Source organism: Homo sapiens, chromosome 9, assembly GCF_000001405.40.
Source record: "Homo sapiens chromosome 9, GRCh38.p14 Primary Assembly".
Taxonomy (NCBI): domain Eukaryota; kingdom Metazoa; phylum Chordata; class Mammalia; order Primates; family Hominidae; genus Homo; species Homo sapiens.
In genome coordinates this window covers 104,128,539-104,143,496 of record NC_000009.12, presented here as the reverse complement: position 1 = coordinate 104,143,496, position 14,958 = coordinate 104,128,539, and the positions used below count along the sequence as shown (strand labels likewise).

The following is a 14,958-nucleotide window of genomic DNA, read 5'->3' as shown; positions in this document are numbered from 1 at the left end:
AAAACATCACACTGTATACTATAAACATTACCATATCCTGTGGTACTACCCTTGAAATGCCTCAGACATTTCAGCCTCAGCCATCCAGTCCAGGAAGGGAAGTCACTTCTTGAATGATGACATGTCTGACAACATTGCCCAGCCAAATGGAAGGATCAGATGTCCCTGGCACTATCAGAGGGACTCTAGCATCCTGGTATTTCTTGGTCCTGTTTCCACCCTTGAGGGATCCCACAGGGAGTGCACCTGAGGGAAACGCTGACTCCAGATTAAGAGTTAGGGGGGCCTTTTGGGGTACTGTGGCAGCCTGAACTGCAAACCACCCACAGGATGTGCACTCTAAAAAGAGAAAATGGCTGGGAACACTGGAATTTGGATTTCACAGGCAGAGGCCGTCATCTGGTCCACCTGTACCTCCTCCAAGCTCAGTGCTTCTCAACATGTGCTGCAATCATGTGGTTCCCTTGCCCTGGAGGGCAGTGCTCAGTGTCCATACTGCCATATTCGGATGGGGTGGTACCACCCCACTTGTAGGCTATCTTGGTGTCCTTCCTTCACTCATTGTGAGCTGGCTTTCCATTGTTCAACAGCTCTATTGGACTGAGGATGACAGGGTGCATGGAAAACCCATTGTATTCCATGAGTGTGCCTGCTGTCATGTTCCTTGGGCAGTAAAGGAGGTTCCTTGTCAGAGCAAAGTTTTACAGGGTATCCAAAAACATAATTTAAGTTTCCCTAAAAGGTGGCTATGGTATTCCCAGCATCCACAGGTGACATGTATTTGTCCTTGCCAGTTAGCAACCTTTTGCCATACTCCTTGTAACCACACAGATCTTTTTCCACTTGGTTGTCATTCACCTGACCAGATAGCAAGGCTGTTCTTTTTGACAACTAGTGAGAAGTGGGGAGAAGTGGGTCAGTCCAAGGTCACCTGGAGAACGGTCTTGCAGGTGGCAGTTCAAATCACAATTTAATTTTATTATGGTAAACTGCAAACTGCTTGTCTTTTTCACAAAGATTCTCTTTGATGAAGTTCTAGCCAGGTTCTTCTGAGCCCTTTCTACGTCTAAATAAACCTTTGCCTGTAAAGATCTGAAAAAAACACTAGCAGTTTCTAACAGCTCAAAGCCACATCCATAGGTTGACTATCCTCCTCCTGAAAGTCAACTCCTGAGAAAACTCAAGGTTGCTGAGTTTACTGTTTCTTCCAACCAACACTTGAAGGTAGAGTCCCAGTCTCTGTGGGAGGGTAAGAGCCTACCTTGGCATTAGAGCCAGTTAACAAATCTAAATGGGTTTCACATCAACCAATTCCCTTTCCTGTTTATATCCCTGACTCTAAGCCCCCACTTATCCTCCTCTATTCCCTCATTCTCCCTTTAAGACACCCAGTCACCTCAATACAAATCAAAATTGAGTTCAGTTCATACTGGACTCTTCTTATTTCAAGAGTATGTTACTGATTTAAATCTATCCTTACTGTTTTAACTAGTATCTGGCTTTATCTTTGATGTGTTCTGTATCTAGAGTTCAGGGGTTAATTACTTTCGCTGACTTCATCTACTAAGTAAGTCTGGGGACCTCTTTCTCCAGGTCCTCGTTTATCCCTTCTGAGACGTCTCCTTCACTTTCTGGAAGCTGTGGTTAGCCCAGATCCCATCTTTTAGTTCTCCAGACCAGAAAGACCCCAGGCTTTCCACTGCAGCCTTAGCTGTCCTACAGCTGCATCATGACTATAGCTGGTACTTAGGTTAAAAACATTAACCTTAGCTTGTGCCTGTCTCTTCCTCCGTATTTTATCTCCCATCCAAAATCTTTCTAGTTTTTCTTCAGTTTCCTGAACTCTCAGGTAGTTGTTTCTAGTATTTTGCTCAGAATCTATATTTATCATCTGTGGGAATGTTGGCCTTTAGATTATGCCACCCTATTGGAAGAGAAAATTTCATGTCTTTGCTTTGCATTTGCTGTGAGCTTACTTGAAATGCCAAAACCGCCACCACCACAATGAATCCTCTCTTCACATGGTTGAGGTTCTTCTTTAAGGTAACATTCACGTTGTACATACTGCTCATACAGGTATTTTTCTTAAATTTATTCTGTACAATAAATACAAATGTTCAAGCTGTCAGTGACGTAGTATATCTTAGGTTCTGGAGACTGACAAGATTTGTCCATGGGCCCTGACACTCCTAACTGTATTATCACCCTGAGCAAGTTTCCTAACTTTTCTGCTCAACTCACTCAATTCCTCGATTACACCATGCTGACAACAACAGTATTTACCTCACTAGGTTACTCTGAGGATTAAATATGACAATACATACAAATGAGAACAGCAGCTAATGTAAAGAAAGAGCTTGTTAAATATTAGTTAACTCATATTACTGCAGATGTGTGAAACAAATGTCCCCAATCCCCTTAATGTCTTCCCTCTAATGAAAAAAAGTTACAACAATTTAATACATGTTTGAGGGTTTTCAAAGATCAAGATTATACAAGACAAAAATCAGGAACGCACACAAGCAAAACATTTTTAGCAGAGAAAAGGAAATGAGTACGTAAGCCAAAATAGTCAAACTCCCAAATTATTTTTAAAACGTTGGCTAAAACAGCAATGAAGTACCACTTAATAACTAACTGTTAAATCAGAAATATTAAAATTAACAGCAAGTACTGACTAATTTGTATACTATGGTATACTTTAATATTGACAGTGTGAATTGGTAACTGTTTTGGCACAGTCTGTAATACATTTGAAAGGAAACAAAAAAACTATATTTGACATTGGACTTTCTGTAACTCAACATTTACAGCATTATTTCCTCTCCCCTCCACAGTGGACAGAACTAATTCCAGATTCAATCCTTTCCAATGTGTCCCATAATATCAATTACTGCATGTTTTCTGACATCTCATATGTATGGAGAATGAAGGGTGGGAAATGTCAAGCCCAGGGCCAGGAAGTACGGCCATATATCAGGGGAAGTATGATAATAACACTAAGGAAATAAGACTAAAAAATCAAGAAGAGATGTGGGGCCAAAATAACACATGGAAGATCAGATTACATCATGTCAGACCTTTCATGATTCAGTTTGGGGTCACTGTTCTAGTGATGACGTACCAAAAACTGTAGACAGTATTCTCATGGTGTTCGCTAGTGTCATCTTTCAAGTTCTAAAGGAATTTCATCCCTTTGAACTGGAAAGCGGAAGACAAATAATCATCCAACTTTTGAGTTATTTTGGTGGAACAGATGGATTGAGTTATTTATATTTATACATATATATATCAGACTCAGGGAAAAATAAATTTGGTTTAGTCTACTGGCACCTACATTCTTGTTTACCAATAGGTTGTTAATGACTGGATTATGAAAAGGCTGACAAAAATCTTGGAAAATATTAACAAACTTCAGATAAATTTGCAGCAGATAGTACCACGCAACACACCTCCTAAGCTTTGATTTAAAAATACTTACACAGCTTAAAAAAACAAAAACATTAAAGTCGTAGAGACCAATTATTAAGCGTATAGGAACATGATATTCATGTATCATTAAAACGTAGAGACCAATTATTAAGCGTATAGGAACATGATATTCATGTATCATTAAAATAAGGATTCTTTCAAGATCTGTTTCCTATCTCAGTCTAAATCAGGGGTCTGGAGTTGTGGCCTTAAAAAACTAGCCTCAAACGGCTCCATGCATGCATAATAGCTTTATATGTGTTCCCTTTGTTGGTCCAGTTACCTGATTTATAATTCTTCCTTACCTGAATGACTTTAGAAAACACATTAATATTGCCTTAGGAATTAAATCAATTAAACACTGATGATCAGCTACATTTATCATGTAATTTAATCTGCTTTTTTGTATATTAGCTTTTACATATAGAATCGGGTATCTCAGGATCCCTAATATATAAAAGACCCGCATAAGAAAAAAACATTTGATGATATGCATAAAATCACAACCACAATAATTGGACCATAATTAGACTAGTTAAGAGATGAGGAATATATGCTCATTTGTAAGCGATAAGTGATTATATAAAGAGAAAACATGGGTTAAGTAACACAGTAACATTAATTTTTGTATATAAACAAATTAGTTATCTCAAGTCCTTAAAAGTTTACATTTAAAAAAACAGGTCAAGATGAAGAAATAACTTTGTAGTTTAAACTTCCACATGTGCTCCTTTGGGTGGTTTTGCCTTGGATTTTGCTTCCTTTGAAATCTTTCCATTTTGACATTGAGTAAATCTGGCTACTGTAGAAACACCATCCACAAACTTGGTTTTGAAAAGAACGTTTGCATTGTTGAACATACCTTCTTTTAGTGACACCACAATGAACTTAAGGAAAAAAGAAAAAAGTATAAAAAAACTTTTTGTGATATACTTGAAGTTTACTCCTTTATACTGGTGATAAGAATGGTTTGGAGATAATTTTATTTCTTTAAATAGTTATATGAGGCACCTAAATGAATGCTAGCTGTCCATATTGTTTTAGAAGTCTCTTAATTTTACTTTGGGTACTTCATTACCCAATTTTACTATTTCCTGGTGGTTGACTGCTTGTTGCTATCTTTTGTAGCTGGCATTCAGTTTTGTTGCTAACTAAAGCTGCTCTAGTGAGATATTTTTCTTGTGACATTTTAATATCAAAGAAGGTTTCAAGTTCCTATAGCACACCACTAGCCCAAACAGAACTTCTGAATAATTAGGCACTGCCCCGCCGCCCCATTCAATGTTATTTGCCAAAACACTGCTATAATAAATACACAATCCATGGTAACTATGAGTGGAGTCCCCAGAGTTGTACAATGCATAATTTATGCAAGCATATTTGGCAGCCCCAGCTCCTACAGCAATAGTGCATTAAAAACAAACTGTTCTTAGCTTCAAGAGGCTTTCTTTGTTCTACTTTTTAGCCATGAGAAATTAAATTTCCCCATCAAGTGTCACATGATTTTCTGATACCTCAGTTAAATATCCCGGAGACAGTTTTGTTTTGATTGTACATCTTTATGGTAGTTAACTAGAGAAAACAATTATATTAACCCTAAATCAATTCTGTATTATGACTAAATTGGAATCTCCCTCATGCTACAACCAACATTTTTAATGCCTAGCTCTTTCTTAAAAAGGAGAGTGAAACTTTTTTCCTTCTATACCTATTTAAACATAAGTCTATTTAAATAGATATACAATGCTTTAGTATTTATCAACCCTAAATATCTTATTAACATTGACTACTAACTAAAGAATGGTTTTAGAAAAATAGTCTAATTAAACTATTACTGAGACTTTTTTTCCTGGTTCTTACCTGAGAATGTGTGAAATGAGTACGCAGCATCTGTCCAATGTTTTGGGTATGAGAAAGATCCAAGGCTGCATCTACCTCATCAAGGATATAAATTGGAGCAGGTTTGAAGAGAAGCATGGACAGTATTAATGACAAGGCCACTAAAGACCTAAGAAAAGGTCAGAAGAAAAGCCATAAAAATTTGATTTTATCACTTATCAAAACACTGAAGCAAATATGTGATCCTATTATTGTGAATAGAGCAGATTTATCTGAAAGGTAGTCATATAAAAAAAAGAATCTTGAGTTTCAAACTTTAACACTTTTGTTGTATTAAAATATTATTTCTTTTATTTTAGCTTTCCATTTCTCCTCTTTTCGGAAGCATGCTATTTTCATAGACAATTTTAATATTGCCATATTACGTTTGGCACCTATTCTTAAGATCATGTTAGTTTTAAAATTTCTTTTTGTTTCCCTTCCCCAGTTGGCTCATTAGAGCCTAGGTAGCAGGTTAAGAGCTATGGTCATTATTTAAGACAATAACTATGATCTTGGTAACAGTAACTGAGTTAGATGTCATTTTTCAAACTTTCATAATGTAAACACTTACATAAACATGCATATACACACAGACAGACACACACACAATCTATATATTTTTTGGTACCATTTGTGAATAAGTTGTATAGACTATGGCCATTACTCTAAGTACATCACTGTCAAAAGTTCAAACAATCTTATGTAAAATTCATAGTTACACCTAATCTCAGGTTCCACAGCACTATTTTCAGTTCTCTTTTAGCTTACTGCAGCTCATTCTAATCTGGTATGAAGAATCATAATTATTATTATATTTTTTCTTTACAAATATATAATTCATAAAAAGCCTTATTTTAATATAAAATATGTATAATTACTTAACATTAGACTAAAAATTAGAGTAGCATTTGTAATATACTTATTCTGTAACTTCAAGTACATCCTGGCATACAGTACTAGAATAGGCAACTCAATGCTTGCTGCATTCTTTTTTGGTTTTTGAGAGTCTTGCTCTGTCACCCCGGATGAAGTGCAGTAGCACAATCTCGGTTCACTGCAACCTCTACCTCCCAGGTTCAAGCAATTCTACTGCCACAGCCTCCCTAGTAGCTGAGATTACAGGTGCATGCCACCACACCCAGCTAATTTTTGTAGTTTTAGTTGAGACAGGATTTCACCATGTTGGCCAGGCTGATCTTGAACTCGTGACCTCAAGTAGTGATCCACCTGCCTTGGCCTCCCAAACTGCTGGGATTACAGGCATGAGCCACCATACCTGGCCGAAGGCTTGCTGCATTCTAATAGGGCTATTTATTAAGAAATATGTAAGTAGGGAAAAAATGTGTGCACAAGTAGAGAAAAATTGCTAGCCAAAAAAAAAAAAAAAAAGAATAAAACAGTATCATCAAAACCAAATCACAGTGAGACTGTTAATCACCTCTATAAAAGGGAGCTAAACTCATTCAGCCAACCTAAAATTATGTTTCTTTGTCTTTCTCTGTGATGAGTGCCTCAAGTATTGAGTTTTAAAACTTAATCTTAAAAAAAAAATTCTGCTGTGCTGAAGGGTTTAACTACCATGTTGGATAGTGGTATATCTAAAAATAACTTTATAGCATCTTAATTATGGAAATAATTTATAGGTCCCAGTAAGAAGAGAAGCATACATTTTCTATTTTCCTCAAAACATTTTCTAGGGCTTCGGCAAATATAGCTAAAGATATTGGGAACTAAACTGTGGAATCCAATTTTTATGAACAGGCAGCAGGAGCTGTATTTTTGATTCTTATTTACAAATTTTATAAAAATATAAATAAAATATATTTCTACTCATAAAAATGATAAAGGGGGTCATAAGGAACATTAACAGGTGTCAATATTTTCTAAGTACATAAAAAAGGGTTACATGATGGAATTACAGGACAGAGAACAATAATTCAAGGCCTATGGATTATATACCATGCAGGAGAAAAAAACCAATTACTAAATGAATCACGAATTTCAATTATGTGAATGTTGACAACCTTCTTTCAGGAGGTTTTAATTAATTGGCTATTGGTAGGTAAGGTGTAAGGACATATGACCTTTTAGGTTTCTATCACTATGCTGATTTTCTGAATCACTGTGTAAGGTCAGGAGAAACTTCCCTGAACTCCAAATCCATGTTAGTTTCCAACACTCTTCTTTCCTTTATGTAGATCCAAGGTTCCATCTGGTATCATTTTCCTTTTGCCTGAGAACTTCCTTTAACCTGTAGTATGGTTCTGCTGTTTTTGTCTGAAAAGTATTCATATTGCCTTCAATTTGAAGAATATTTCTGTTAGATATACAATTCTAAGTTGACATATACTTTCAGCACTTTACGGATGTTCCAGACTTCTGGCTTACATAGTGTTTAACAAGAAGTCTAAAGTCATTTTTATTTTTGTTCACTAGCACATAATGTCTCTTTTCCTCTAGCTGCTTTTAGGATTCTTCTCCTATCACTGGTTTTCAGCAGTTTTATGTATCTTTTGCTTTGTTATTTTGTATGTGTTTCTGTTTATCCTGCCTGAGGTTGATAGAACTCAAGTCTGTGGGTTTACAGAATTCATCAAATCTGGAAAACATGGTGCCATGATTTCTTCAAGTATTCCTCTCTTTTTGGAACTCCAATTACTTGCCCATTAGACAGCTTCCCTTAGAACACTAAAGCTGGTTGTTTTTTCTTTCTCCAGTTTTTTATTTCTCAATGTAGCTTGAACAGATTCTGTTCTATTGCTATGTCTTCAAATTTACTGATTTTTCTTTTACAGTATCTCATCTCCTATTAATCTCATGCAGTAAACTTTTTTTTAATCTCTAGAAAGTTCACTTAATTCTTTTTAGTAGCTTCTATTTCTCTCATTATGTTCATGTTTTCTTGGATTAACTTGTCTCCTACTTGCATCATCTGTCATTTCAGAGTCTGTTTCTACTCACTAATTTTTCTCTTTAATTTTGATTACATGCTGGACATTGTGGTTATATTGTTTAGTATCTCAATTTTTTTTAACCTTCTTTAAAGAACACTGGCCTTTGTTCTGATAAACAAATAACAGTTTGGTTCCTTCAAAAAATTTGTTCAGTTTCTTAGGATGTGTCTACATTAGGCTTCACTTCAGGGACAGTAGAGACCTAATGCCAAGGTGCAGCACTCTAGGGCTTTGCAAAATTCTAATCTGTCTTTTTAACTTAGTGATACTACTGACCTCTGTTTAGGCAACTGAAGTCCAAAAACTGCCTCTAGAGAGAAAGCCAGGGTGAACATAGGGCTCAGCATTTCTGTTTCATCTTGTCCTGGACTATTCATTTTCTAATATTTGAAAATAGATTTTTTAAAAACATGTTTTGTCTAATTTTCTATTTGCTTATTCCTCCTTTGTCACCTATTTTAATCAAATGTTTTAACCAAATTGTTTAGTCTTATATATTAGACTCCTTAAATTCTACATGCAAAGGTAGTTAAAACACAAATACAGTTTTAAGGTAAGGAGATGAATTATAATAAAGAGGAATGAAAATTATAATATAGCAAAGTGATTCCTCACCTCTGACCACCACTAAGTTCAGTTAGGTTTTCTTTCCAGGTATTTCCCAAGGCAACCTTGAACTCCAGACCATCCAAAACAGTTTGACCCTCTGGTGGTGCAAGCATAGCATTAGCACCAGGCAAAAGAGTAGAAAAAATAGACCCAAAGTCCTTGTTCACCTGGATTTAAAAAATAAAAAAGTTAAAACATCAGGATGCTTTCCAAGAAGAATCAATTGTTGATATATGTATATGCAACACAGCAGGTCTACTTTGTCTATTACTCTAACTCAGGGGCTGACAAACTATGGCCCATGTGAAAAATCTGGATATGCTCATTCATTTACAAAGCGTCTATCGGTGCTAGTGATAAGACAAAATCAGGTAGTTGCAACAGAGACTGGATGGGCTCCCAAGCAAAAAATATTTACTATATGGCCCTTTACAAAAATGAATTACTGAATCCTGCTCTAATTTCCAGGGGAACTAGAAGGCACACCTCTAACTCTAGTCCAAAGTTTTGACACTTTTGTAGAACACACTGCAGGAATCCTCAAGATACACACAATTGTATCACATGAGGAAAAAAAACACAAAATAGAGAAGCAAACAAAAAAACACAAGTATTTTTGGAATAAAATGTTATCCTCTAAAACTTTTCTTTTTCCTGTTGTCCAAAGGCCTAAGTAGATCAATGTGAGGCCCAGGAGAAAAAGGGGCATGAAATCAAAGGACCAGATCTGTTAAAGCCTTCTTTTCTACATGCCTCATCTCCTAGCCGAAGAGGTTAAGCTGTTGAGGGCCAGAAACAGGATTACATCCCAAGAGAAAAGAAAGCTGTTTGGCCTGCCCCTGTCTTGCCATAGAAGGAGACAGAGATTTAGGGCCAAAATCCTAGCTTGTAATAGGGTAATTTTTGTTCATACGCACTTGATTGATGATTTGGGAATTTGGCCATCTGTCTTCAAAGACATGACTAATATTCTTAGTTCGGCAGTCAAACTTGAAAGCATAACACACATACACACAAAGGACTTGACAGCCAAGTTCTCTAGAGAAATCTCCAAATTCCAATGCAGGTATACAATATTCAAATGTAAATATACTTTTTAATGAATACTTATAGTAACAAGAAAATCTCATAGACACAAGCAGTGATCCTAAATATAGATTTACTAAGTAACACACATTTTAAAAGCAAGTACATGGCTGCTGAATAATATCCTACAGAGTGGAAGCAGGTTCTAGGCCAAGTGTGGGACAGGCAGCTCAGGACCAAGAGAGAGGAATGCTACTAAACTTGAACCAGAGACCCAGTGTGAAACTTCCTCCAAAAGAGAATGGACAGAGAAGAATACAGCCCTATGCTACACAGAAAATGAGTTATATTCATAGATCGATATAAAGATGAAATAAAAGAGAATTCTGCAAGTCCAATGAGGCTATGAAGAAAACAAACCAAAAACAAAAAAAGCCTAGAATACTCTGGCTTTGTCACTTTGTCAATCAAGTAAGCCTGAAGCCAGAAGGAAGAATATAATGCTGATAACAGTACCTACTTTGTTAGATTATTGTGAAGATTAGATGAGAAAATTAATTTGAGAATAGTGACTGGCATATAATAAGCACTGAATAAATGTTACTGGCTTTGGAAGAACCTTGGAAATTTGGGAAGAGCAGGATATGTTTAGACAATAGATTCTGATTTGTACTAAGTCCACGAATCCTGGTGGGAAAAAAGAAAAAAAAAAAAACCTCTCAGATCCAGTGTTAAATCGACATGCTGCACACTAATTAATAGGGTCAGCCTTTTGCTTCCATTTTTAAGAGAAAAATATTACAGGGAATGGAGCACTGAAAATAAGTCTTAGAGAAGAAAAAAACAAGGTGACTAAAAGGGATAATTGTGCTGCATTACTGAAGATAGAGTTCCTACAGAATTACAAAGAGAAAAAGAGGCAAGGTGCCCCATTAAAACCCAGAAGGCACAGGTTTGCTAAACTACCAAACAGCACAGTAACTCTATGTTTGGAATCTCTGAAGTAAGAATCTTCCGCTATAGTAAAAATGGAAAAACTTCCACATGAGAGGCTAAGGAATTATCCTATAGGAGACAGATACATGAAGTCAGGGAAGTAGAAGTAACAGTAAAGAAGCCTAAGATCTGCCAAAGTTGTCATAAAACAAAATGGAATTGGGATTTTGTTGAATAAGCATCCTGTAAAAGAGAATACTAAACTTGGCTTGTTTACTATCCAATTCTTACAGAAGTACAAGAATGCCAGGATCTGGTAGTAGTCAAGTTCAAAAAGAAAAAAATGCATTTAAAAGTCAGAGGTTTTAATTAAGGTGTGAATATGTGCCTCATTCAAACATAGATCAGCTATTTCAAATTTCTTATAGAGTATAACTCCACTGATGATATTTTTTCATCCTTGCAACCTCATATAAAACAAACATAAAAAGTACCTTTTGCCATGCAATATTTAGGGCTTGGTTTTTCTTCTGGTCAAGGTCTTCTATAGTTGTAAGAATTTTGGATTTGTCATTTTCTACAATTCTCTTCTTCTTCATCAAGTCATTGTACTATGAGATAAAAAACATGGTTAACTGGGAAAATATAAAATCTCTTCTATATTCTGGAATTTGGTCAGAAATAAACAGTTTTCATTATTTTTATATACAATACATACATTGCTATTTACCAAAAAGATATAATGCACTAAGAATTATATATACTCATATACTATACATATACTGTATGATGTGTGTGTATATACACACTCATATACACACTCTTAACAAAATTAGGAATAAAATCATCCATATGTATATAACTAAATTACTAGAACTAAGAATTTATAAGACAAAGTCCTTAAAATATTTTGACTCCACTAATATTCCCTTATCTCCTTAGCAGCCAAGGCAAAAAAAAAAAAAAAAAGTGTTACATATAAACTTAAGTAAAAGGAGCCCTGAAAGCTCTCCTCTTAAGGTCAGCCTTAGCAGTGACATGAACAAAATTTTGATCCTTCACCATGATATATAGGAACCACATAAATTGGACCTTACTTTTTTTTAATTTTAAGTTTTGGGATACATGTGCAGAATGTGCAGGTTTGTTACATAGGTATACATGTGCCATGATGGCTTGCTGCACCAATCAACCAGGTTTTAAGCCCTGTATGCATCAGGATAAAGGGAATTGGACCTTATTTATCCCTTGACTTTATGGCATTAAACTCCTCCCCAGGTTCTGGCCATATGGTCTTTTACAGCTCCTTTGAACATAATAAACTCACTATTGTCTTATGGCCCCTGCACTATTCTCCCTTCCTGGAATGCTCTTTCTCTGACATAACGGTTGCCTGAAATTTCAGCTCAAATATCACCACTTTAGAGTAGTCTTCCTTCAAGCAAGGCTGTAGAGGGATAATCATACCATGAACAGCAATGGGACTTCCTAAAACTCTTCCTAATTCATTTCTCCTCAAAGCCCTACATTTCAAGGAGGCTTCACATTCACCTTTAACAATTCTAGTCAGTCCTGCTGTTTTCCTTGCTGTCCCTCTTCTTTACAGCCACGCTCCCCTAACCTTCTCTCTACATTTTTATCTTATTTTTTCATGAAAATCCATGTAATTGCTTATGTAGATAGATACAAAACACAAGAAAAAAAAAGGCCATCTGCTGATCAACAATATAGGCTTCTCCTCTGGTAAAGAGATGGGAGTTGATAAATTCTTTTGAAAAAAATATTAGACTCAGGTCTCATCTAATAGAAGTAAACGAGTAAAAGTGAACAAGTTTCATGTTATGCAGATCAAATTCAGACCAAAGTTTTCCTTCTACAAATATATCACATATTGCAAAGCTTTAATGTAGAAATGAAAACCAGCAGGAGCATTTTCTAGAGAGATCACAATACCTGCATGATTCATCTGTTTGGTATCTAATATAATATAGACTCTTTGTGCATATTCATGCCAAAAACAGTTAAAAAAAATTATGGTAAAATTTCTTCAAAGTAACTGTGCTATTATCAGTGTCGCAGATTTCTCATGAATTTTACTCTGATTTGCAAATTCAAACAGAATTTTCCAGCATTCAGGAAGGTATGGGGCATTAATAGGGGCATTAATATAAAATTACTAAGATAGCCATTTCTTATGGCTATCTTAAGAGTAGGGAATGCTTCCCCCACTGGGTTTTTCTAGTGATAGGTCCTCCCAAGTTCATCACTAGATGACAGTAAACTCCCTTCCCAGACTCAAAGTTTTGTCAGGTTAGGGAAGAATAACATTATTGAGTAATTGAGAGCATTAAAACTGAGAAGAGGCTGCAGAATTTACAGATCAGTGAAACAGTATTTATGTGTATAATGGCTTTAGTCATTACTTATATAGTTTCAGTATACAGTAGAGTCAAGAGGATGACAGAAGTATATCCTATTCAAGGCTTTTCAATGCAAGTGAAAGAAATGAAATGATAGAAATGTGAGGAATTATGTTTGACAAAGAACAAAAGCCAGTGAAAAAGTCATTCCAGGTGTAATAGAATGTAAAAACAACTAATGATGCATAAGAGTAATAAGAAAAAAATGACGAAAAGAGAAAAAGGAAAGCAGAAAGAAAAGTATCAAGGACATCTGCAAAAGGTTAACTCTAATAATTGCATCAGAGGTCATACAGAGCTGTCAATGCTAGTCATGTTCTAATGCGGCCAGATATTCATAAGAAATTGACTTACTCGCTCTTCAGCTTCTGTCAATACATTCATAGCTCTCATATTGACATTTCTTCCTAGTTTCTCCTTCATTTCTTGCAACTTCTGAAGTCTCTGACCAGCTTCTTTAGGGTTGTTAGTTTTGAAATCATAGGCACTATTGGGTTGGCCAAAGAGGTGTCTCTCTGCATTAATCCAGTCATAATCTTTCAACATTTTGGATACCTAGCCACATATAAAAATAGATGGGAGATCTATGAATGTTTACAAACCAATATGTATAAGCCAGTTTCTTAACTATTTAATACTTTTGAATCAAATACTGAAGAGGAAAAAACCTTCAATGACTAATTTTTTTTTTTTTTTTGAGATGGAGTTTCACTCTTGTTGCCCAAGCTGGAGTGCAATGGCGCGATCTTGGCTGACCGCAACTTACACCTCCCAGGTTCAAGTGATTCTGCTGCCTCAGCCTCCTGAGTAACTGGGATCACAGGTATGTACCACCACGCCCAGCTAATTTTGTATTTTTAGTAGAGACGGGGTTTCTCCATGTTGGTCAGGCTGATCTGGAACTCCCGACCTCAGGTGATCTGCCAACCTCGGCCTCCCAAAGTGCTGGGATTACAGGCGTGAGCCACCGTGCCTAGGCGACTCATTTTTAAAAATGAGTTTCATTACTGACAAGAATAAAGATGAATATTTTTACCTGGAACACAGACTACAGAAACAAGACACTGTATAGCAAAAGATCTTCCTATTACTTTGGCATTAGAAGAGCCAACTCACAGAGAAATTTTTACGAAGTATACGCAAAGCACCTCCATTAGAATGAAATGTAAGTCAGGTAGAACTCCTTCAGAATTTACCAAATTCAATCTATTGCTTCAAAACACAACTTATGAGAAGCTAAAACTCTTTTAATACTTAAGTCATAGATTTGGTAAAAATCATGGAAGCCTAATGCTGACTGAGACCTAATAATTTTTCTCTCAGAAATATATTCTAAGAAACTGCCCTAAACATTGACTCTATCCTGCTCCCCACCTTTTGAAAAAGGCACAGTATATTGAAAAAGGCACTGTATAATAATTTTTCATGTAATACAACTGATTATACAGTTCAAATTATAGTGCCTAAAGAAGACTTTCTTCTACTAGAATTATGATTCATTCTCACTGGCAGAATCCAATCCTTGTTAATTTATTGACTTGTATTAATTCCATGGATATGGTCTCACCTGTAGGCCCCAAAGTACAATTATCATTTCTAGTGTATCTTCCTTTTGACCTGTAAACTCTTTGAAAGCATCCTGTATGTGTTGCTCATCCTTA

The 14,958-nt window shown here is 35.9% G+C and overlaps 1 protein-coding gene across 21 annotated transcripts in view; it reads right to left on the bottom strand.

The window, feature by feature from the left end:
• Window positions 1–2,077: 2,077 nt before the first annotated feature.
• Window positions 2,078–14,958, bottom strand: part of SMC2 (structural maintenance of chromosomes 2) — a 53,157-nt gene continuing 40,276 nt past the window's right edge. For 18 of the 21 annotated variants that reach the window (XM_011518149.4, XM_047422644.1, NM_001042551.2 and 15 more), the window contains 5 exons: window positions 13,652–13,852; window positions 11,372–11,488; window positions 8,922–9,082; window positions 5,332–5,479; window positions 2,078–4,358 (listed from right to left, as the gene is read on the bottom strand). In XM_011518149.4, the coding sequence (XP_011516451.1) occupies window positions 4,182–4,358; window positions 5,332–5,479; window positions 8,922–9,082; window positions 11,372–11,488; window positions 13,652–13,852 (804 nt within the window). In that variant the 3' untranslated portion in view covers window positions 2,078–4,181. Of the gene's footprint in view, window positions 4,359–5,331; window positions 5,480–5,502; window positions 7,650–8,921; window positions 9,083–11,371; window positions 11,489–13,651; window positions 13,853–14,958 lie in introns of those variants that run through there. The other 3 variants (XM_047422648.1, XM_047422649.1, XM_011518153.2) reach the window with 3 other exon arrangements.